The 22,559-nt window shown below is 57.2% G+C and overlaps 1 protein-coding gene across 7 annotated transcripts in view, besides 3 other annotated features; it reads right to left on the reverse strand.

The window, feature by feature from the left end:
• Nucleotides 1-2,955: 2,955 nt before the first annotated feature.
• PLXND1 (plexin D1) overlaps nucleotides 2,956-22,559 on the reverse strand; it is a 51,463-nt gene continuing 31,859 nt past the window's right edge. For 2 of the 7 annotated variants that reach the window (XM_011512589.2, NM_015103.3), the window contains 25 exons: nucleotides 22,078-22,232; nucleotides 21,336-21,487; nucleotides 20,584-20,683; nucleotides 20,351-20,490; nucleotides 19,419-19,586; nucleotides 19,251-19,341; nucleotides 18,782-19,045; nucleotides 18,528-18,677; nucleotides 17,585-17,699; nucleotides 15,440-15,547; nucleotides 15,234-15,346; nucleotides 14,269-14,373; nucleotides 13,629-13,759; nucleotides 13,082-13,280; nucleotides 10,836-10,982; nucleotides 10,529-10,685; nucleotides 9,542-9,645; nucleotides 9,388-9,451; nucleotides 8,431-8,465; nucleotides 8,072-8,176; nucleotides 7,362-7,525; nucleotides 6,170-6,317; nucleotides 4,825-4,965; nucleotides 4,359-4,433; nucleotides 2,956-4,170 (listed from right to left, as the gene is read on the reverse strand). In XM_011512589.2, coding sequence (XP_011510891.1) covers nucleotides 4,054-4,170; nucleotides 4,359-4,433; nucleotides 4,825-4,965; nucleotides 6,170-6,317; nucleotides 7,362-7,525; nucleotides 8,072-8,176; nucleotides 8,431-8,465; nucleotides 9,388-9,451; nucleotides 9,542-9,645; nucleotides 10,529-10,685; nucleotides 10,836-10,982; nucleotides 13,082-13,280; nucleotides 13,629-13,759; nucleotides 14,269-14,373; nucleotides 15,234-15,346; nucleotides 15,440-15,547; nucleotides 17,585-17,699; nucleotides 18,528-18,677; nucleotides 18,782-19,045; nucleotides 19,251-19,341; nucleotides 19,419-19,586; nucleotides 20,351-20,490; nucleotides 20,584-20,683; nucleotides 21,336-21,487; nucleotides 22,078-22,232 — 3,248 coding nt within the window. In that variant the 3' untranslated portion in view covers nucleotides 2,956-4,053. Of the gene's footprint in view, nucleotides 4,213-4,358; nucleotides 4,434-4,824; nucleotides 4,966-6,169; nucleotides 6,318-7,361; nucleotides 7,526-8,071; nucleotides 8,177-8,430; nucleotides 8,466-9,387; nucleotides 9,452-9,541; nucleotides 9,646-10,528; nucleotides 10,686-10,835; nucleotides 10,983-13,081; nucleotides 13,281-13,628; nucleotides 13,760-14,268; nucleotides 14,374-15,233; nucleotides 15,347-15,439; nucleotides 15,548-17,584; nucleotides 17,700-18,527; nucleotides 18,678-18,781; nucleotides 19,046-19,250; nucleotides 19,342-19,418; nucleotides 19,587-20,350; nucleotides 20,491-20,583; nucleotides 20,684-20,806; nucleotides 20,928-21,335; nucleotides 21,488-22,077; nucleotides 22,233-22,559 lie in introns of those variants that run through there. The other 5 variants (XM_011512588.3, XM_011512592.1, XM_047447765.1 and 2 more) reach the window with 5 other exon arrangements.
• Nucleotides 6,053-6,942: an enhancer, noted in NCBI's record as "H3K27ac-H3K4me1 hESC enhancer chr3:129277154-129278043 (GRCh37/hg19 assembly coordinates)". NCBI's record gives its function as "activates a minimal SCP1, AML or CMV promoter by ChIP-STARR-seq in naive H9 embryonic stem cells {active_cell/tissue: H9 hESC(naive)}" and the evidence as "EXISTENCE:reporter gene assay evidence [ECO:0000049][PMID:30033119]".
• Nucleotides 6,508-6,802: an enhancer, noted in NCBI's record as "tiled region #1469; HepG2 Activating DNase unmatched - State 14:Gen5', and K562 Activating non-DNase unmatched - State 7:EnhWF". NCBI's record gives its function as "activates a minimal TATA promoter and a strong SV40 promoter by Sharpr-MPRA in HepG2 and K562 cells {active_cell/tissue: HepG2 | K562}" and the evidence as "EXISTENCE:reporter gene assay evidence [ECO:0000049][PMID:27701403]".
• Nucleotides 20,798-21,523: an enhancer, noted in NCBI's record as "H3K27ac-H3K4me1 hESC enhancer chr3:129291899-129292624 (GRCh37/hg19 assembly coordinates)". NCBI's record gives its function as "activates a minimal SCP1, AML or CMV promoter by ChIP-STARR-seq in primed H9 embryonic stem cells {active_cell/tissue: H9 hESC(primed)}" and the evidence as "EXISTENCE:reporter gene assay evidence [ECO:0000049][PMID:30033119]".

Genomic DNA, 22,559 nt, shown 5'->3' on the forward strand with positions numbered 1-22,559 from the left:
GACCAGTAGAATTTGGTGACAATGACGCTGTGATAATTTCTGGGCCCCACCTTAAGGCAGCTTCTACTTCTTGTGTTTGAGGACACTTTTTGTTTTGTGATACTCACTCTTCAAACTTGGCCACCACTCTATGGGAAAGCCCATGCAGCTTGTGGAGAGGAACTGAGGACTCCATTTTTCAGCTCCTGCTGAACTCTCTGACCAGCTGGTACCACGTGCCACCATCTGAATGCGTGTTGGAACTGCATCTTCCAGCCCTAATTGAGCTGGCCCAGCAGAAACCTGGTGGAACAGGGACAAGCCTTTCCTGCCAAGCCCTGCCCTGATTGCAGATTCGTGGGCAAAATAAGTGACTGCTGTTATTTTAAGCCACTAGGTACTGGGGTGGTGTGTCCCATAGCAATATATCTTTCTAAACAGATCCCCTTCCTTTCACTGGAACAAGGGCTGCAGGGTAGATGGCGGCTGGATCACGCAGGGCCTTGTAAGCCAAGGGCAAGCACGGTGGGCTTTGTCATAAGGAACCATTAGAGGACGGCAAGCAACAGAGTCTCTGCAGGGATGTGGGCGGGCAGACAGGCCTGTGAGGAGGCTCCTGCCACAACCCAGATGAAGGGGGTGGTGACCAGCCAGGACATGCTCACAGAGGGAGGGTTAGAAGTGGTAGCTTCTGGATCGCTGTTGAAGATGGTGTGAACGGGCTCTGCTGATGGATTGGATGTAGGAAGGGTCACTGATGAGTCAGTCCACAATTTGGGGTCTAGATAGCTAAGTGACTGCTGGGTGACCATTTCCTGAGGTGAGGACTTGGCACGTGCCAGGAGGCTGCCGAGATATGGTCCTGATGAGAGGTGGCAGCCTAGCCACGGAGGACAGAGAGAAGGAAGGGGTGGACTAAAGGGAGTCAGAGGCAAACTGCACAGGACTTGAGAAGGGGGCAGACGGGGCACAAAGGGAAGCAGGCTGCTCAGCATGGGGCATCAGCTGCTCCCTTCCTGCCCCTGCTCCACCACCCCACCCTCTCCTCCTGGAATCCCGGCTTTGCCTAGATGTGCTGACAGCCCCCCTGGGGTGTCTGTAATGTGGCTGCCAGCAGGACCCAGAAGGGCACCCAGAGCAGATGGTGGGATGGGGCCGGGCTGGTGCTTCCTGAGGAGGGGTCTGCTCCTGCCACTGCTCATTCACGGCTTGGCCCAGTGCTGTGGCACCCCCAGGCAGCCTGCAGTGCGGGGGGCATCAGTGGGCATCTCACGTCCATGAGCTGGGGACAGGGGTGGGGGGTGTCTAGCATCCATGAAACCTTGGGCAAGTTACCTCCCTTAGCTGCAATGGTTTCTTTCCTTTTCAAAGGAGTTTAGTTTAAGGATGCTACATCAGGGGTCCCTAGCCTCCTATGACCCTCAAAGGGTAGGAACCTCCCTCCTGCCCACAGCTGCCAGGTCCTCAGAGCCCCAGATAAGGATTATAATTGGTTCATGGAAGGTGGCCACCTTCTGCGCTGAGAAACGACTCTGGAAACTAGAGATTTCCTCCATTTGCAAATACATTTCTAAACGTCAAGGAGGAACTGAATGTTAATCAGACATTAAGACAGGCTGTGGAATATTTAATGACATAGAAAGATGTTACTGACATATTGTCGCATGGGGGAAAATCAGGTTGCAAAATGGTGTGCACACCCTGATCCTGAGTTCACTCCTCGGCCCCGCCCCATCCAAGCGCCCCGTGCGGCTGGCGTTCTCAGAGACGCTCGCCACAAACGGTTAGGGCAGCTTTTATTTTCTTCACGCTTTTTGTGCTTCCTACATTTCTCTGGGAACCGTGTATTCATTCCAGAATCACACCCACCCCCCTCACCCTCAAAATGCTATCAAATGTGCTGATAACTTAAATTAGAAAATCTGCTGCTTAATAAGAAGGAATCAATGCTCAGAATAGAAAATGTGAAAGATAAAGACTATCTCTCCACACAGAAGCCACTGTAGGAAAAAGCTATTTTTAAAGCAAAAGGTTGTTTACTGTTCTCACTTTTCTGTTCTCATTAATTTTAGAACTGGTATTTGTGGGATTTTGTTTAAATTTTATGAATCTTTTGTCCTAGTTCTTACTCTTGATAAATACATGTGTAACTATTTTTCCTTCAAAAAAGCAAGAAATTAAGTGGAGTTGCTGTACCTTTGGAGCTGGCTCTCGAGATCTTTCCCTGGGGTTGGAGAGGAGCCAGCAGGGCTGGAAAGGGGTGTCTGCATCAGGTTCATTGTTCTTGTGGGCAGGGGTGAGGAACAGCCTGTACTTGTGGGGAACAGCGTTTAGGGTTAAACTGGGCTTGGGGGTTAAACTGCCTGCTTCCTTGTCTGAGAAATGAGCTTAATGCTACGTATTTTTTAAGCTTGATGAGAAATTCGGGGTAAGTTAAGTGTCAGTTCCCTTTCCAGGGTGGTCACCTTTGGCCTCCCCGCCCATTTTGGGGACCACTGTGGAGACTCTGGCCCGGAAGGACCATGGGACCTGGTCCTTATTCTGTCCCTTCCTGGTTGTGTGACCTTGAGAATTGCTTCAGCTGTGCTGAGCCTCAAGTTGCTGCGTCTGTCATACAGGGATGCTAGCACATTCCTGACGGGCTTGTTAGAGATGAGGTTAGGAGCAGGGCCCACCCAGTTGCAGGCAGCACACAGCAGCTGTGAAATCTTCCTGGAGGTCCCGGGGTGTCCTCAGAGCTTAAGGAATGGCAGCTCTGGGCCGGGCCCACAGCATGCATGCAGCCTGCACCGTCTCGTTTCATCTCCTGGCCTCTGACTGCCTTCTCAGAAGCTAGTCAGGTGTCTGCCCAAACCTCAAGAGTGCAGCTGAGACAGGAGGGACGGCAGGCTCCCTCCCTCCTCTCTCTCACAAACTGGTAAAGAAACTGCCCATTCTCCCGCTTGGCTATCTCAGGACAAAGGCTGGAGCCCACAGTAGGTTTGTCCGTAAGGCTTTTATTATAAAGAAGATTCCAGAGTCCCAGCTGCCCCCCTCCAGCCCCCATGGGCTCTGAGCCAGTCCCAACACTGGCTGAGTTGGCTGCGAGGGGCCCGCATGGCCCATCGGCCACAGAGGGTCGTTTCTGGCAGGAACGGAGTGGGTGGTAGTCTCAGGCGCCAGGGGCGCTCTGCCAGGTCTGCCCGCTCTCTGGAACAGTCATTTCCAGTGTTGCATGGGGAGCCTCTCGGGACCCCTCCCCGGGTCCTCTGCGCAAGCGGCAGCTATTCACAGTTGGTGCATGATACGTTTTTTAATATATAAAAGCTTTAAAAAAAAAAGTGGTGCTATCTTTAGAAACACTTTCAGCAAGATCAAGTAGCCCAGCTACAGCCTCGGTGCATCTTAACCCCTCTCCTTTTCCTGGAGACGGGGCTCCCAGCTCCTGTGCCCCCCATCCCTCCCCTCCACCCTCCCTGCTCCTGGAGAAGCCCACAGAGCACCCCATGGCGCGGGCACTGCCCACTCTACCAACAGCCGCCCAAGCAACAAAAATCTGACACTACTTGAAACTGTCTGTGGCCAGGATCCTCTACGGGTGAGGGGGAAGTGGAGATAACATTTTGGTAGTTGAAGCAGAAACCAATCAAAGGTCAGTTCAAGGAGGGCTCCCTGCACCAGTGTGGATGAGGTAGAGTTTCTGGGCTGCAGCCTCCGGGCTGGCGGCCTCCTCTCCCCCAGTTTGTGCTTGGCCGCCTGGATGCACGGGGCTCTTGGCAGCAGGACCAACTGGACGTTGTGGAGCAAGTGGGTGGGCACAGTGCAGGCCGTGCTGGGCAGATGGGGGAGCCTGACCAGCTCTCTGGCCTCCATCCCAGAGACTGATCTGGGGACAGGTGGGAGGGGATGGAGGTGCCCAGGGGTCAAGGCGGGGGCGCCCCTGTCTCAGAGAGCAGCCCCTCCTCCTGCCCCCGCCCCAGCCGTCTCTGCTCAGTATTTCCCAGTCTGAGTCACAGGCACGGGGTAGAAGATCAAGTTGAGGCCCAGTGGGCGTCCATTTCTCCCAGCAGCAGCCTGACCAACTCTCCATGTGTCTCAGGCCTCACTGTAGCACTCGTAGATGTTGTCCTCCATCAAAGCCACCACCTGCTCAAACTTGTGCTGCAGTTGTGTCCTCCGGGCCGTGGGGTTGGCCTCCAGCGCGGCCATGATCTGAGGGGAGCAGCGGAGTCAGCCGGGCCATGGCCGGTAGCCCTGCCTCAGTTCGTGGGAGAGAACACACCCCTGAACGTCTACCACGAGTGACATCCGTCCATTAGGGGCAAGCACCCTGAGATGTGTGTCCTTGAGTAGGAAGCTCACCTACCCCGAGGGCAGGTGCCTCACCCTGGGGCACTCACCTGCGGCCGATACCTCTTGGCGTACTTATAAATCTCTGCCATGGCCACATTGGTGTTGAACTCATTCTGGTATTTCTATAAGGAGGCAGGATGGGGAGGAGGTTAGCCCAGCGGTCAAAGCTGAGCCTAGTCCCAGCAAAGCCAGCTGCTTGCACACAATCCCCAACTCCCCACGGCCCCCACAGAACAGTTCAGCGATGAGGCCCCTCAAGTCCCATGGACGAAGACGGCTTCCCGGACCCTGAAGTCCAATCTCCTCTCCATCCAGAGGGTGCTCTCCTGCCCCCGCTCCTCAAACTCTGGGAAAATGCATGACGAATTTGCAGGCCAGCAAGAGGCCACAGCCACTTCTGAAATGCCCTCTGCGCTCCCTGCCCTTACTCCAGTGGAGGCATTGAGGCCCAGCCCCCGACCCCCGATCCCTCAGCTCTTCAGGCCCCCATCCCCCGCCGCCGAGCCACCGCACCCTCGACTCCTCGGCCAGATGGGCATTCATCTCTTGCTCGCTGAGCGGCGTCATGTCCTGGATCTGCTTGTAGTAGCGCTGCACGATCTTCCGGTACTCAGGAATCTCCTTGGCGTAGAGGAGCTTGTTGGTTGGCGAATCCTGGGCAGAGAAGAGCGAGGGTGTTAGATGGCTGCTGGAGAAAGGACGGATCTGGTCGTTTTCTGGATGAGCCCTCATCCCTCCTGCCACATAAGTGACCTTAGCAGGCCCCCGAGGCCCAAAGAGTCTCACCCGGTCACTGAACGTCCCCGCACTCAGCCGGCCCCAGACCAGGGGCTCCTCACTGTGCTCTGTCTGCCCCGCCTACTTTCCCCAGGACTGTTAGGACAATGATGTGGGTGGGGAGGGGCCCTACTTCTTTCAGGGGAAAAGTGCACGGGCATGCCAGCTCTTCACTGCACGCAGCCCATTCCACGTAACAAGGATGTGTCCTTCTCAGGGTGATAGGTCTTGGTGGCTAGGATTCCTGGAAGCCTGAGTGCTGGCTCAGTGGAATATTTCCCACCACATGCTCCTAACGCCTGAAAGAAGTGCCAAGAACACTCCCAGTTCTTTGTCAGTCACGGGCACCCTGCCTTCGGAGGCAGTACGTGAGTAGTAGTGGAGCGATGGCATTTTCTCCTTCCCGTGGTCCGTCTCTGAAATGCGTGGGCTAAATGCAGGGTCACACACGACCTGGACCAATCCTGCAGTGCCAGCTTTAATGATACAATCTCATCCCTGCTCACAGCAACCGGCTGCTTTCCTGCCTCCCTGTCTTTGCCTGCGCCGTTCTCTCTGCCTGGAAGGCCATCCTCTTTCATCTTCAACCTCTAAAGCCAGACACAGCCTTGTGTGCCCCCAACACACCGCATGAATCTCAGAGCTCCTAGCCACCCATCACCCCTCTGCCCACCCCTTCACTGAATGCTCGCTTGAATGGCTTTTGACTTTCAGGGGCTACTGCCCAGAGCCTGGCCCGGTTTTCAGATGATGTTGTGCCTGACCAAGCAGGTTGTCCAAGCTCATACTGGCTTTCCCACACCGGGTTCTCAGGCCTGTGTTCAAAGCCAGTGCCAGGCACAGCTGCAGCATGTGCAGTTGGTCTGCAGCGATACAGAGTTTCTGATGGAAGGTACTGGCTTCTAGGTGTCTCCCTGTCTGAATGAGTCACTCATCCCACATCCCCTAGACCTGAGATCTTTTGGTTCCCCTCCCAGGAAGATCTCTGAGCTCAGCCTCAGAGAGTCGAGGAGGCTACCCATGGTCGGCACCCCACTCTGGCCCTGTGCATGGGCCTGGCCTGGTCCTGGGAACAGCTGACCTTGCCCAGCTGCAGGTCAGAGATGGAGCAGGCGTCGATGAAGGCCTGCGCGATGACTGAAAGGCAGGCGTCGATGTGGTCTGTCTTGTCGATGTCAAAGACAAACTGGGGGTTCTTCAGGATGTTCACCCAGAACCGGAGAGGAAGGCTGTGGGGTAGGGTGACAAAGACAGTGAGGGTAGGGTGGGGTAGGAAGCAGTCGAGGGACAGTTGTGGAGGAGAGAGCTGGCTTTGTCCCTCAAGGGCCTGAGGTTGGAGCCTTGTCACAAGATGTGACCTTTGGGAACCTTAGTTTGCCTATCCCTGGCCAGCTGGGGTGCAGTGGGGCTGAGAGCCCGGTTTCCTGCTGGAGCAAGGCAGGAGCTACAGGGCTTAGCTGTACCCCCCAACCCCCTCCTGAGCCTCCAGTCAGGTCCTGGTTCTCATTAGAACCAGGTGCCGGCCCCCGGGCACCCCTGGCTCCTCCCTGAACCCTTGCAGGCAGCAGGAAGTCCGACATTAGCAGAGCAGCTGTGGCAGGGCTGTGGGGGGCAGGGCCTGGAGCTCTGGCCTTGTCCTCAAGAGGCCAGAGAGGGTGAGCAACACCCCCACCCCCACCTCAGGCCACCCAGTGACTCAGCAGCCTGGGCATGTGTACCCCCAGAGCTCTAGGAAGCTGCTGCCCTGCACAGAGGCGCCTGGGCTGGTGGTATTCTTCCTGAGGGTCAGGCTGGGTTTCCAGCAACTTCTTGTGGGGGTGCATGACCCCGACAAGCTAAGAGGTGCCTCAAAGGAGGGCTACCAACTGGGTAAGAGATTCAGATAATGTAGGGCCGAGCCTGGCTCTACTGTCCCAGGCTGTGTGGTCTTGAGCAGGTGCTGCTTCTCCGAGCCTCAGTGTGCTTATCTGTGAAGTGGAGCTGATGGTGCCCACCTGAGAGGGGTGCGGGAGAATGATAGTAAGGGCAACACCTAGACCATGCTTCTGGGCACTCTTCTAGTTAATTCCCACCATTAACATGGGTCGCATTTTACAGTGGAGGGGAAACTGAAGCACAGAGAGGCTAAGTCACTCATCCGAGAACACACAGCTGGGAAATGGCAGAGGAGGGCTTGACCCCAAGCAGGCGAGGCCAGAAGACTAGACTCTGAACCCCCTGCCACAGGGGCCCCAGTGGCACAGTGAAGTCCACACGGCCCCCCCACCCGCCACCTGTTGGTCTTCCAGATGTGTAGGGTGTCGGGGTCGGAGATTCCCCTCTTCTCAGCCTGCTCCTCCAGGAAGTCGAAAAAGTACTTGACAGCCAGTGGGGGCTTGTCTTCACGGATACTCAGAATGGCCTTGAACAGGTCATCCAGAAACTTCTGCAACGTGCCCTGCGGGGGAGTGGGGTGGCCGCCGTCAGCCCCGGGCCACGTGCAGAGGGCTAGTGGGCACCCTTGGTGGCTCTGCGGAGCTTGAAATGCCAGGCTGCTGAATGAGGAAGCCACATGGCATCAGGCTGGTCACCGAGCCTCTCTGGCTCACTTGCCTCCCAGAGGCGTTGAAAGGACTAATCGAGGCACTGGCACATGGAGTCGAGAACTGGAAGTGCCAGAGTATGGGCTGTGGGGTGCCGGCGCTGCCACTGAGCCACGTGGCCTTGGGGACATCACTGATCCCTCTGGGCCTCTGCTGTACCCTGTTACGTGGGCTAACATAGAAGTCTCTGTCAGGCATTTTTCCTGGCTGTGAGAAATGCCTCCTCAAGTGGGACCCTAAGCCTTCAGCCTCTTGCCCCTCCAGCCCCACAGGGGAAACAGGAAGAACTCACACCCCTCTCCCAGCCGCGGGTGCACAGCTGGCCCTGAGCAATGACCCTCTGGAGCTGGGGCTGGAGCCTTGTACCCACTGCACAGAGGGGAGACTGAGGCCGGACTCACCTTGGTGGAGAGCAGGCGGGTCAGGTAGATTTCCGGGAGCACCTTCTTGCGATGGCTCTGCCGGTGAGACTTCTTGGGCTCCGCCAGCTCGTCCGTAGGCAGCACCTGGGAGGCCGGGCAGTGGTCAGTGTCCGCACCAGGCCCCATCCTCGGCCGCCTGTGGGAGGTCTGGCTCTGCCATGCTTCTTAGCACACAAGGGCTGTGGTTCCCTCCTGATTCTGGGCCCCATCCCTACTCCCCCACCCCCCAGCCTTTCGCAGGGCTGGGAGCACTTTTCCCAAGAGGCCCAGGGCCACAGAAAGCCAAGGCCACACCCACTGAGGGGCTGGATCCCCCGGGGCCGAGGTTGGGCACTCACCAAATGGAAATACTTCTCTGTGTCCAAGTCTTTCACTGTGAGAGGAAAAACACAATAAATAAACACGGGAGAGGAGAGGAGAGAAACAGAAATGAAGACAGAAAGATGGAGTGAGAAACAGAAACAAGACAGAAAGATGGGGAGAGAAACAGAAGCAGAGACAGAAAGATGGAGAGAGAAACAGAAACGGAGACAGAGATCCAAAGAGACAGTCAGAGAGAATGAGACAGAGATGCAGAGACGCATGGGGAGACTGAGTCTGGGAGAGACGGAGAGAGAGATAAGTGAGATCCAGAGACACACAGCGAGCGAGACAGAGTGAGGCAGAGAGAGAAAGACACACACACAGTGACCCGGGATGGAGGGACTTGGAAGGAGGGACAGCGGTGGAGAGAAACAGGAAGATGCAGCCACGGGGGAGGAGGGGCCCCAGGCAGGCGGGGGTGGGTGCCTTTGCCCACCCCACCCCTGAGCCCAGAGCTCCTGCCAGCCCAGATTCCCAGGCTGCTGGGAGAGACTGAGACTCTGCTCTCAACCTTAGAAGGGGACCCCGAGACCCAGAGGATCCCGGGCTCGCAGGCCTGGCAGCCAGGAGGCTGTGCCTGGGGCGTCTGAGGGTGTGGAGGGGGCACTTGAGGCAGGGACATGGCCCAAGGCTGAGACGGGCATGCTGGCCCCCCTTCTGGCCTGGCTGCTGCCCAGACCTCCTGGAACTGCATCCCGCCCTCCCGGGGCCTCTCTCCAGCTGCCGCAGGAAATCAGCTTGAGGAGGCCTGGTGTGGGCCCTGCCCCAGCAGTACTGGGTCAGAGGAGGCTGGCCCCGCCCAGCCCCCACCAAGGAGGCCTCAGCCCAGGCCAGCCCTGCCTCTCGGAGCCTCAGCTTCCCCACTGGGGCATGGGATGGAAGCCCCTGTCCACACGCAGCCTGGGCTCCCTTCCCACGTGCACCCGCACTACCTCGGCCCAGTGTGTTGTCCTTCTTGTCTATGAGACTCATGGCCAGGGAGGCACCTTCAGGGATCTGATGGGAGGGGAGAGGCCGAGGTCAGAGGCCGGAGGTTGGGGTGGGGGCATGAGGGTGGGGAAATGGGGGCGGGGGGCAGGGCTGCACCTTGTAATGGGCCAGCGTGTTAAGCTTCTTGCGGCCGTCTTCCACCACTGAGGTGTCGTCCAGGTCCCGAAGGATGTAGCTCTGTGTGCTGGAGGCGAACCACTCTGGGGGACAAGGGACAGGCCATCAGGGTCCGGGCAGGGAGCTGGGCCTGAGGGGTAGGTACCGGCCCAGCCACATAGGGAGAGGCCTCTCGCTCTCTCCATGTAAACTGAGGCAAGCCATACCTCTCTCTGAGCCTCCATTTTCCCATCTGTAAAATGGGGAGGGCAGGAAAGAGCTGGGGGAGAGTGTGAGGGTACAAAGAGAAGGTGCCAGGGTGGAGGGCACAGAGGAGGAGCTCTGGAAATGGCCTTGTCTGCAAGGCTGTTCATGTTACAATTGCTGATGAAACCCTTGGCCTAACCAAGACTCCTATAAAACCCACTCCAGGCCCCGCGCGGTGGCTCACACCTGTAATCCCAGCACTTTGGGAGGATGAGGCAGGAGGATCGCTTGAGCCCAGGAGTTCAAGACCAGCCTGGGCAGCACAGCATGACACTATCTTTACAAAAAGTAAAATTAGCTGGATGTGGTGGTGCACTCCTGTAGTCCCAGCTACTCAGGAGGCTGAAATGAGGGGATCACTTGAGCCCAGGAGGTCGAGGCTGCAGTGAGCTGAGATTGCGCCACTGCACTCCAGCCTGGGTGACAGAATGAGATCCCGTCTCAAAAACAAACAAACAAACCAACCCTACTCCAGCATCCCTCCTTTAGGAATTAGGAAGCCTTTCCTGAAGGCTTTTTGCTGTTGTCCGTAGTTCACTCACACTGCAGGACTTGTCTCCTACAGAGTAAGAGCTTCTTGCTGAGGGGGCCTCATTGGATCCTCTCAGTGTCCCCACATTCATGCACCCATGCCAGGTGAAAGGAGTGTTTCCCGTCAAGGCAGGGGCCAGCCCCGGCTGAAGCGCCTGACACGGGGTCTCTGCCCCCATTCCCACCCACCAAGGTCGACGTCCTCTGCACGCGGCCACTGGGAGTAGGGCACATTCTTGCAGAAGGCCTCCAGGATCTTCTCCTTGACCTGTGTCAGCGTGTCGGTGTCCATGGCCCGCACGCTCAGCGAGTCCATGCCACAGCCCTGGAAGGACACGTTCAGGTTCTGCAGGGGGAGAGTGGGAGAGAAAGGTCAGTGAGTTGCTGCCATCACTATGTCAGTGCCCAGGCAGCAAGGCCCTGCAGAGGAAGGCTGGGTCAATGCCGTTGGCGGCGACACAGCAGCCCTGGGACCCTCCCCGCCCTGCCGACTTACCCGGGGCTTGGCCTCGATGTTCTCCCGCAGCAGCCACTCCTCACTGAGTGTGTAGCGGGCCTTGCCTGTGATGGCGTCGATGGAGCCCTTGTTGATTTGCTGCTTGATGGCACACAGCAGCAGGAAGAATGGCTCCCCCACCGTCTCCTGAGGGGCACGGGGGTATCAGGGCCAAGGCCCCCTCTGTATTCCAGCCCCCATGCTTTGGGCCAAACACCTTCACGCCCCCGTCCCCCAACCCCTCCAACAGTCTCCTTTTGGATCCTGGTGTCAACACTCTCCTCTCCAGGGTGTCTCCACGGACCCTAAGCTCGTGTTCATTAAACACCACCAGCTGTGGGTGGGTGCATTCATTGCATCATCCCGGCAACCCTTCCGGATACGGAGTATCATTCTTACTGTGCAGCCAACAGTGCCGAGGCTCAGAGAGGGCAAGTGACCTGCCCAAGATCACCCAGCTGGGAAGCGGCAGGGCAGGAATCGGACCTGGCTCGGCTGACTCCCAAGCCTGTGACTTTCTACTAAGTGGGGGGCCCCCAAGTGTGAGTTTAGGTGGACCCGAAACACCGATGTGGCCTCGACCCCACTTGCAGGCTGATGACTATGGAGTCTCAGGAGGAATGGGGCTCAATGTCCCTGCTCTTGCCCATCTCCAAGGGTGGCCCTCCAGGCAGTGGCTCTGCTGGACCCACAGCCATGAGCTGATTCTCAAGGCCATTGCCCAGCAAGGGACCCAGGTGTTCCACTGGGATAGTTTTACTTAACTATCCACAAAAATTGATTTAAAGAAAAATTAAGTACATAATAGTATTAGGCAGATTTGGCAAAGATTACGAAGGCAGCCTGCCAGCCCAAGTCCTGGTCCAATTCTCCAGGTCTGGGGCGTGGGAGGCACTGATTCCCTGCTTCCTAGAGGAGGAAACAGGCTCATAGGGGAAGGCCTGGCTGAGGCCACAGAAAGAAGCCAGGGGAGTGAGGTCCAGGGTCCACAGTGGCCCTTGTGGTTCCTGATGGCCCACAGTGAGGCAGCCCGCAGAAGGCGGAGGCACCCCAATGGCCCCTCCCAGGCCCTGCCTCTGCTCCACCCCACTACCCCCTTCCCCCAGGAGGAGCCGTGGGGCTCCCCCAGGCTACTTGGCCCTCAAGCCCCAGGCTCAGGGGCAGAGGCCCCATTTGACAGAAGGAAACCAAGGCCCACAGAGGGCAATGAGTAGCCCAGAGTCACACAGCTGGGCTGTGCCAAAGATTGGACTCAAGCCCAGGACATCTTGGCTGGGTGCAGTGGCTCACCCCTGTAATCCCAGCACTTTGGGAGGCCAAAGCGGGAGGATTGCTTGAGCTCAGGAGTTTGGGACCAGCCTGTGCAACAAAGCAAGACCCCCATCTCTTCAAAAATTAATAACAAAAAACAGAACATCCGAGGCCCCGGTTCTGGGCTCCAGGCAGGCCTTTGCCTTTCTCCCACAATCCTCCAGGCAGCCCTCTAGCCTCTGCCACCATAGGGCAGCTGGACAGTGGGACAGGACAAGAGGCTAAGCAACCCTTGCTCTGCGAAGAGAGCTTATGGGGGTCCTTCTGGCAGAGTGCAGGAGGCCCTGGTTACCGGGCCCACCCTCTTCCCAGCCTCCGCTCTCATCCAGAAGATTCTTTGGCCTTCCTTCTATTCCTTCCACGAACATCCCCTCCTCCCGGCCTCTGCCCTTGTGCTGTACCCGATGCCTGGAGCACCCTCCCCACCACTCCTCGCCTGGCTCACTCTCTTAGGTCTCAGCACAGGGTTGCCTGCTCCAGGAAGCCACCTTGAAGCCTTCAGACAGAGGGAGGCCTCGTGAGCTGAGCTCTGCTGCGAGGCACTGGCCACCCTGTATTTTGTTTCCACGTCTCGCCTAGCCTAGGGCTGGGAGAGCCTCAAGGGCCAGCCAGGGGCTGATTTCATCTCCTGAATCCAGAGCAGGGAAGGGTGGATGACTGAGAAAACCACAGATGGGACAAGGCCCCTGACACAACCTCTGTTATGCCCCAAGCATCCGTTGAGCCCTTGCAGCAAGCCAGCCAGGCTTCCCCGGGGCCATGGCTCCCCTCTCTGCATAACAGGTCCTACGGGCCTGGCCTGTCTCATGCAACACTCCCTCCTGGCAGAGCTGGCCTGAGGGTGCCAGGGAAGGCCTGGGAGGCCGTGGGGTCACTGCCGCTGAGTCCCTGCCACGTCCCCCGCCTGGGCTCTGTCTGTCCCCAGGCAGCCTCACCCGCAGACAGCTGTACATGCAGATGGACATCCAGTTGGTGAGCATCTTCTCCACCACAGACTCTGTGCGCCGCAGCATGAGCTTGGGGTTCTTGGCGGCCGAGGCGTCAATGAGGTCCACCAGCAGCTCCTTCATGATGCTGGTGTAGTACTCCAGCTTGCCGTGCAGCGCGATGGTCAGCAGCGAGGCCAGGCTGCACCTGTGAGCGGGAGGCAGGTGTCAACTGCACCTTGAGGCCCTAGGAGCTGTGGGTCCCAGGGTCTCAGTGCCGCCTCATCCCCGGGCCCATCGATCCCAGGAGTGCCTGTGTGGGTGGGTCCTGCGAGGGGTGAGTGGGGCTAGAATCCTCCTGGAGAAACAGCCACCTTCTTCTACGTCCACAGCAACCATCGTGCCCCGTGAGCCAAGGTCTTGGGCATCCCGGCCCAGGAAGGGCTGGAATATGGGGGTGTCAAGAGCCCCAGAGCCCCAGGACCCAGGACCTGATGCTGTGTGGCCTTGGACAGGCTCCTCTTCCCTACCCCACCCCAGTCTGTCACAGCCTGACCTGTCGCGCACCGCAAAGTCCTTCTGCTGCTCCAGCGCGTGGACAAAGACGATGAGGAAGTGCTTGTTGTTGAGTAGTGAGGAGAACAAGCTAATTCCCTCTTCCATGTTGGGCCGGCAGCTCTCAGGAATCTGTGGAAGCAACTGGTGATGGGGTGTCCAGAGGGGCCCAGTGTCCCTGCCTAGCCTAACAGCCAGTGCTTACGACGGCTGCTTGTATGCCTCCTGGGATGGGGAGCTCATTACCTTCCACGGTGGATGCCTCCTAACCTTTGTGACAGGGAACAATAGCTTGGTTGAATTGAAAAGTGGGGCTCAGAGAAGGGTAAGGGTGCCTGGAGGTAACCTGGCATCCCAGTGTGGAGGACTCTCACCTTCCATTTTCTAAGCAGGTTGAGTGGGGTGTACAGGGGGGCCCAATCCTCTGTCTGCTCTACCTGGCCTGCGGGGGCAGCACTTATAATACCCTGAATGGCTGCCTGAATGCCTCCTGGGATGGAGGGCTCAGTACCTTACAATGGCAGATGCCTCCCAACTCCGCATGACAGGGATCAATGCATTAGATGAACTGGAAAGGGGACCCAGGGGGGAGCAGGGTTGCCCTGAAGCAGCCCACTGTGTGTGGGTCGTGGGGTACTCACCTTCCACTCTCCCAGCAGTGGGTGGGTTTCCTGTGCCTGGGAGCTGCCCTGGGAGTTGAGGGTCTGGGAGGGCAGCACGTAACGCTCTTCATAAAGGGAGGAACACTGCAGAGGCAGACCCCCAGCATCTCAGCGGGGCTGGACACCCCCTGCTGGCATGGAAAGGTCACTCACACAGAAAGGGGCACTGGCTTGGGCTGCTGGGGGAAACTGGCACGGAATTAGCTCCCCATAAAGGACTAAGAGGCAGTGGGCCAAGCCTGGGGGCTGTGGAATTCCAGGGGTGTGGCCACACAAGACAGCACAAGACTTAAGGGGAAGCAAAAGCAGCTCCATGTGCAATGGGGGAAACTGAGGCAGAAAGGCTGGGAGTCTGAGCTTTAGCCTGAGGCTGGGAAAAGCTACTGGAGGGTTTCGTGAAAAATGATGTAGTCAAACATGGGCTTGCTTTGGCCACTGTGTGGGGAATGGTGTGGACAGGGGAGAGAGGGTGGTACCACTAGGAGGTAGAGTGAGGGTAGTGGACCCTGGAAGGGCAAGGGGAGGCATGAGAGGCATGGAAGGGATGGGGCAGGAGTCCAGTGGACAGGAGGAGGGAGTGTAGAGACCAAGGGAAGCCTGGCTGGGAAGAGGCACAGGAAGGAGAGAGGCTGGCCTGGGACAGCCCTGGCCGCTTCTGCCCCACCTTGAAAAGGGGAGAGGCAGGCCCAGCTGGCCAGGACAGCGGGGCTGCAGCTGGCTTCCATATGGACTGTTAAACATCAAGTGAGCAGAGAATGACAGTGGAGAATCTGCCTCCAACCCTTCTCCCCGTGGCAGGCCAGGGCAAGTGGCCAGGACGGCTGCGGACAGCTGTGCAGGTTTGGCACTGCTCAAGGGACCCTATAGGCTGGCAGGGCTCAGAGAGGTCGAGTTGCCTTGAGGTGGCTGGCACAGGTTCAGGGCAGGCTCAGGCTCGGGCTGACCTTGGGGAAGAAGGTGCGGGTCACGAAGTGCTTATACTCCAGGAAGGGGATGCCCTGGCTGCGGTTCAGCTCCTTGGTGAGATCTGTCATGTCTGTCTGCAGCTCAGCGAAGCCTGGCGGACACACGGACAGCCGTGAGCGGCCCGAGAACCCATCCCCTAGGAGGGAAAGTTGAGGCCCAGCCCTGCAGGGTCCCCGCCCACTACCTTTGCGGATTTCCTCTCGGATCTGAGATTCCATCTCCTCCATCTGCAGCAGCGTCTTCTGCCAGTAACGCTCAGCACGTCGGCTCTTGGTACAGAAGACGAACAGGGCTGCGGGCAGTGGAGAGGCAGGTCAGGCCTCTGGTGCCCTTTGGAAAGCCTTTATTGGCGCCTGCTGTATTCTGGCCTCCGCTCCAGCTCCTCTGGGCAGGGTGTGGGAGGAGGCCCTGCAGTCCTCCCTCCTGGGCAGGGTTGGGGTGGGGGGTGGGGAGTTGCGGGGAGCTCTCCCGTGGACAGAGGGCTTGGGGAATGGCCAGCAAAGCAATGCCTGATGACCCGTCCTTAGAAAAAGAAGTGTGTAGTGTTACAGCTCTGTTAGAATTTGTCTAGCCCCGTTAAAAAAAAAAAGAAACAGGAATACGTGTGTGTGAAATAGTGGTTAACAGTGGCTTTCCTGGGTGGGAGGATTCTGGGTGACTTCGGTTTACTTTCTGCTTTTGAGCATTTTCTATTCCTTCTACAATGACCAGGTGTTACTTGTAAATTAAGAAACTTTTAAAAGCAGATTACAAAGCAATATTACATTATAACCTTTCCTGGGGTGGGGAGGAATATATACATAATGTATTAAAATATCTATTAATATATAGTATTTTCAGAAAAGAGACTGGGAGGGAAGATACAAAAATACACAGGGTATTAATGATGGGTATTTTTTCCTTTTATCATCTTTCAGTTTTTCCAAAAATTTTCTGCATTGAATATACTCACTTTAAAAATAAAACAGCTTTATTGTGAAATAACGTACATACCATATAATCCAGTGATTTAAAGTGTATACTTCAATGGTTTCTTTTCTTTCTTTTTTTCTTTTGAGACAGTCTTACTCTGGCACCCAGGCTGAAGTACAGTGGCGCGATCACATCTCACTGCAGCCTCCACCTCCCAGGCTCAGGTGATCCTCCCACCTCAGCCTCCTGAGTAGCTGGGACTACAGACTCATGCCACCATGCCCAGGTAATTTTTGTATTTTTTGTAGAGATAAAGTTTTGCCATGTTGCCCAAGCTGGTCTTGAACTCCTGGGCTCAAGTGAGCCACCCACCTTGGCCTCCCAAAGTGCTGGGACTACAGGCATAAGCCACTGAGCCTGGCCTAATTCAATGGTTTCTAGTATATTCACAGAGTTGTGCAACCATCACCACTAATTTTAGAGCATTTTTGCTGCCCCAAGAAGACCCATACCCATGCAGCAGTCACTCCCCATTCGTGTTCTCCCTAGTCCCTGGCAATCACCATTCAGCTTTCTGTCTCTATGAATTTCCCTATTCTAAACATTTCATATAAATGGCATCATACAATATGCCTTTGGTGAGTCTTCTTTTGGTTAGTGTAATATTGTCAAGGTGCCTGCCCATGGTGGCATGGATCAGTACTCCACTCCTTCTTACGGATAAATAATTTTCCATTGTATGAATAGATCATATTTCATTTATTCATTTATTGGTTGATGGACATTTGGGTTGTTTTGACTTCCTGGTTATTATAAATAATGTTGCTATAAACGTGTGTACAAGTTTTTGTGTGGCTACGTTTTCATTTCTCTTGAGCAGATAGCTAGGGGTGGAATTGCTGGGTCATAGGTCATAGGGTAATTCTATGTTTCACATCCTAAGAAACTTCCAAAATGTTTTCCAAAGCAGCTGCGCTTTTTTGTATTCCCTCTAGTAGCGTATGATGGCTCCAGTTTCTCTGCTACATCGAGTCTATTACTTTATTGACCATTATTTTAACAGTGGTATAGCCCACCAGACATGTAGGTTAATTTTTCCTGAGTAATCCTCTCTTAAGTACCTTCAGTAGCTCTCTATTGACTGGAGAACATGGTTCCAAATTTCTCTGCTTGAGATTCAGGGACCTGGGCGTGGGCCTAGCATATCCCCTGGCCACCTAACATCTTCTACCCATTGGTGCTGGAGCCAGGGCACACCTCCCCCAACCTCTGGGTGCCTAACCTGTTCCCATGGCCAAGCCTTTGTTCAAGCTGTGCCCCATCCCATCCTGCCTTCTCCCATCTGCCAATCTTCAGAGGGGCTGGGGCAAGGTGGCAAGCCTGCCCTCCAAGGTGTCCTGAGGGTGGGGCTCCTTACCCACCACGGAGAGCAGCAGCAGGACGCTGCAGATGACGATGGACACGATGATGGCCGTCTCGCTGCCCCCCAGCTGCAGTGTGGCGATGGTCTGGTTGAAGTTCCCTACCTGGATCTGTGCAGAGGTTGGGGAAGGGGGTTGTAGCTTTCCTGGACTTATACTCTAGTTCTGCTCCTCACTTGCTGTGTGGCCCTGGGTAAATTACCTAACCTCTCTGAGCCTCAGGTGCCACACTGATAACATAGAGATAACAATGTCCACCTCCTGGGGACACTGGGAAGGCTAAATGAGGGCTTGTCAAGCCCTTGGTCCTGGGCCTGGCACAGAGGTGGCTCAATGCAGGGGGCTGTGATTATCATTACAGCCTGGGAGGAGTAGTGAGTGAGCAAGAGGAAGCAGTTCACGGGGCCTGGCTGCTGTCCCCAAGTATCTGCAAGGCTGCCCTGGGACCAGGGGGTAGGTGAGGTATGAGGACTCAGAGTGCAGGACTGGGACTGAGGTGCAGGTGAAAGAAAGCTTTCCCAGTCAGAGCCATCCTGGGGTGGCACACGCTGCTTGGGAGAGAGTGAGCTCCCCATCCCAGGAGACATGCAAGGAGATAGTGTTCTGGCCCCTCTCTGCTCCTCCTGCTCCCCTGCCTCTACATGGTGCCTGGCAGCCCAGGCTCTAGGATAGACGCCAAGGGGGACAGGGACAATTTCTTATGGTTTCTGATGGTCCAGGTCCAGATGGGGCCCATCACTGACCTCAAGCAAGTCACTAAGTTCTTGGGCCTCAGTTTCCTCATATGTCAAGTGGGGATGTAAAGCTCTGCTTTGCTGGACTGAGCTGTTGAGCGTGAAAACGCTCAGTGAATTCAGGTGCTGGGTGAGGGGCAGATGCTTGGCAGATGGGCCAGGGGTGGGGCCAGGTCTGCCCTGCTCCGGCGCCCCATCCACTCACTGTGATGGGCAGCTGCCCCACGGCCGCGCCCAGGGACTCGTTGACCGAGCAGTGGATGATTCTGTCAGAGACAATCTGGATGTCGCAGCTTACTTGGCCTATCTTGACCCGGTACTCGTGACTCTGGAGCCCCAGGCTGTCCTGCTCCTTCTGTGGGTGCAAAGGGGGAGGATGCTCATGGGGAAGTGCTCCCGAGGCCCACAGCTGAGGCTGGCTCGCTTGCCCCCGCCTACCCCGGCCCCTTTGGTGCTCACGTGGATAACGAGGGTGAGAGGCTCCCCGGGGTGGTGCTTGATCCACTTCTCCCTCTTGGCCGTAGAGAACTGTGGGTTGGGGAGGTAGTCCAGGCGGAACCTGCTGCCCCGCTGTGCCTCCTCGGGGTCCAGTAGCTCCTCAGCCACAGCCACCTCGTCTGCGTAGGCCCGCCCATTGATGAAGAAGTCCACTGGCGCTGATGCGTTGCTCAGGGCCCCGGGGGACGGGCAGGTGATGAGGGTGGAGTTGAGAACCTTGCAGAGCTGGTGCAGGAGAGCCAGGGGCCCAGGCCGGGATGCAGGATGGACAGATGGGCATGGAGAAACGGTGGGGAGTGGGGTTTGAGGAGACACAGAGGCAGAGGGAGGAAGAGGGGACAGAGATGCAGTGGGAGGAGGCCTGGTCAGTTAGGGCCCTGGCTGTGCCTGGGCCACCCCCTCCCACCCATCAGGCCCCCGAATGCCTCACCGTGGGCTCCCGGCCAATGTGGTGGACGGCCATGGACACATTCTGCACCATGTGGAAACGCTCACCAGCCACTGTGATGGTCCTGCCGCCACTGCGGGGGACAGCAAAACCTATCAGTGCACCTGCAGCCCCAGAGAGCCTGGGGGAAGGGCGGGGTGCCAGTCTCACCTGACAGGGCTGCGGCGGGGACTGATGGCCGTGATGACCGGGTTCTGCATGTACCAGAAGGTGAGGTTGCCGTGCACGCAGCCCCGACGCTCGAAGCGCACACACACAGGCACCGGAGCCGGCAGGGCCCCCTCAGGCATGGTGCAGGCGATGCTGGTATCTGTGCGCCTGGGGGGAGCAGCAGGTTATCAGCAGGGCCTGCCTTCTGCTGCTCACCCACCGCCAATGCCCCTGAGACCTGGGGCACAAGTCCACGCACTTGGCCTGGGGTTCAAGGCCTCCTTGACTGGTCCCAACTCATCTTCTGCCCAGTTAGTGCCCAGCTGTTTCCTTACACTTCCAAATTCCGCCCCATCCCACCTCCTCCAGGAAGCCTTCCCAGGTCTTCTCTCCCGCCTCCAACCCTGGTGAAGTCTCTCTCCCCAGATCCCTGAAGGCACTGACTTTTCTCCCAATCCTAGCCCCACTGGATGTTCCTACTTCCCGTGGGTATGTCTGCCCTTCCCTTGAGGTCTATGTTGTGCTCCTCTTGGTGTCCCAGCAATGCCCATTAGTGGGGTCTGGTACACAATAAGTGCATAATAAAGACAAAGGTGTTTCGCCAACAGACTCCAACCACACCCCTGCCACTCACCACACCCCTGGGCCAGCCAGAAGATCTGTGTGTGTGCAATCAACACCATTCTCATTACAGCTATCACTTATGGAGCAACTACTGTATACCTGGCACAAAGCCCTTCTTCCAATTACTGGTACTATTCTTACCAGCTGAGGAAACTGAGGCTCAGAGAGGAGAAGGGGCTTGGCTTAGGGGACACAGCCAATGAAGACCCAAGAGAGGCTTGGCTCAAGGATGTCACCTCCAGCCCGCCAGCCCCCAAGCCCATTGATTTCTCTGGGCTGGAAGGGATGGGCCAGGCCCAGAGGCTTACATCAGCTCCGTGCAGGGGTCTGTGTCGTTCACCAGGACCTGGAGCTCGGAGCCTACATGGAGGTCATTCCCATGGATGGTGATCCTGGTGCCCCCGGCCTTGGGGCCCATGGTAGGCTCCAGGGAGTGGACCAGGGGCAGCTGTGGGAGGAAGGCAGGCGTTTGGGCCTCGGGCCAGCCCCCGGGAGTGTGCGTGCTGGGCGGGCCGGACAGTGGGCTGCAGCCCCCCCTTACCACGTAGGAGAAGCGGTCCCGGGACTTGCCCTCCTTAGAGGCGTTCACGGTCACCACACCTGAGAGTGGTCCTGGGGCTGGCCCTGTGACACACACGATCCTGAGGGGAGGTGCTGTGGTCAGCCAGCGGTCCTTGGCCCCCACGGCCACCCTAGAGCCAGGCTCAGGGATCGCCCCATTCCACGCCATGCCACACTTCCAATGCCTTCTATGTATAATTTACCCCATCAGTTTCCCACAGTTCTGCAACTATAAGACACGGGGGTGGGACAAAAGGGTCTCTGATCATGAGAACGTCTGCTGGGCTGGTAGATGACGGCTCTTCCACACGCCTGATGCACGGCCTCCCAAAAGGAAAGCCAGTTCAGTCTCTGCTCACGCGTATTTCCTACGGCCCCTCTGGGCCAGTCACAGATCTCTAAACCATGCCAGTAGCCCCAGCCTTTTTAATTGCAAATGATTTTCCTCAGAGCAAGGCTTAGGTGGAAGAAGGGCTGTGCTAGGGCAGCCTGTGAGGGCTTCCCAGAGGAGTGGGCATCAGAGCCAGAGCTGGAGGGATAAAGCAGATGCCCCAAGCAGAAACGGCAGGATGTGTGGTGGGAATGGCTTCGGCACAGGCCTGGAGGCCACGAAGCAACAGTCTTCCAGAAAGCAGCAGAGTGAGGACAGAGGATGGGGAGGGAGGAGTGAGGAGGACAGAGCAGAGGCTGGCACTGCTGGAGAAGGTAGGTGGGGGCACCGTGGCTACTCACTCCTCCGACACCGTGTATCTGTCAGGCAGTGGCTCACAGGCCACACCACCAATCCACACGCCGTGGGCCACGTCACTGAGCCGCCGGCCCAGGTTCCTTCCTCGGATGGTCAGCAGGGTCCCACCGTCCAACGGGCCACTCAGGGGCTCAATCTGCCAGGTGACCCGAGAGAGGGGCGAATGGGATCTGAGGCTGCAGGCCAGCAGGCTTCTGCCCACAGTCACAGGCACCCAGCAGGGCACAGCCGTGCAGACCCACTGCTTAGAGGAAGGTCTGGAGGCTCAGGTGGGGCTGGGACTGTGGCCACTTGGCAGGTCACTGTGCTGGCAAGGAGGATGTGGGTGTGCATTACTGAGCCCACGTGGGCCTGGGGACGCTACTTAGGGGGTCTCCTGGAGGATGCTGAGGTCAGCTTCCAGGAGCAATGTTTGGCCATGTCATTGGTGGCTTTAGTGATCATGGTATCCCCTGAAACTAACAACATTCAGCCCTCGGTGTCTCCTCCACGCCACACTTCCAATGCCTTCTATAATTTATTCATTTCCTTATTTATTACTGTCCACCTCCCCCACTGAAACATCAGCTCTGTGAGGCAGAGCACTTCCTTTTGTTCACAGGTGATACTGCACCCATGTGTCGGTGTATGTGCCGTTTGGGTCCCCAAGAAGTGGGACCCTCGAGGGCACTGCGCATGCGCCGTGCCGGAGTGCGGGTGCCACGTGCCTCCACTGGGCATGCTTACCGCGTGGATCTCGGGGGCGGGGCAGGTGCCAGCCATGGGCTGCAGAGGCCCCCGCAGGCGGCAGCCATCACTCCACATGCACAGGTGACCCAGGTCTTCGCGGCCCAGGCACTGGGAACAGTCGGGGCTGCCCATGGCACAGTTATAGACCATGACTGGGGAGACACGGGGCAGCTCGGTCAGCCCCGCTCTGCGGTGCATGCCCCAACACCGCTGTGCCCTCCACACACAACAACTGTCAAGAGGTCTGCGCCCCATCATTGTGGTGCCCCACCCAGAGGAAGTCCTGATTCTGGGGGTCAGGATCCCCTGAGGTTCTTAGCCCCTTCCCCAAACCCCTGGGGCCTGTGCTGAGCACAGTGCAGCCCCTGCTTCATTGATTTCCTTCCCCTCACAGAGACTCCAGCTGGGAGCCTCAGGTCAGCCTCACTTTACAGAGAAGAGGCTGACGCTCAGACAGGAGGGACTCGCCTGAGCTCACG

This window comes from Homo sapiens, chromosome 3 (genome assembly GCF_000001405.40).
Source record: "Homo sapiens chromosome 3, GRCh38.p14 Primary Assembly".
NCBI classification, from domain to species: Eukaryota; Metazoa; Chordata; class Mammalia; order Primates; family Hominidae; genus Homo; species Homo sapiens.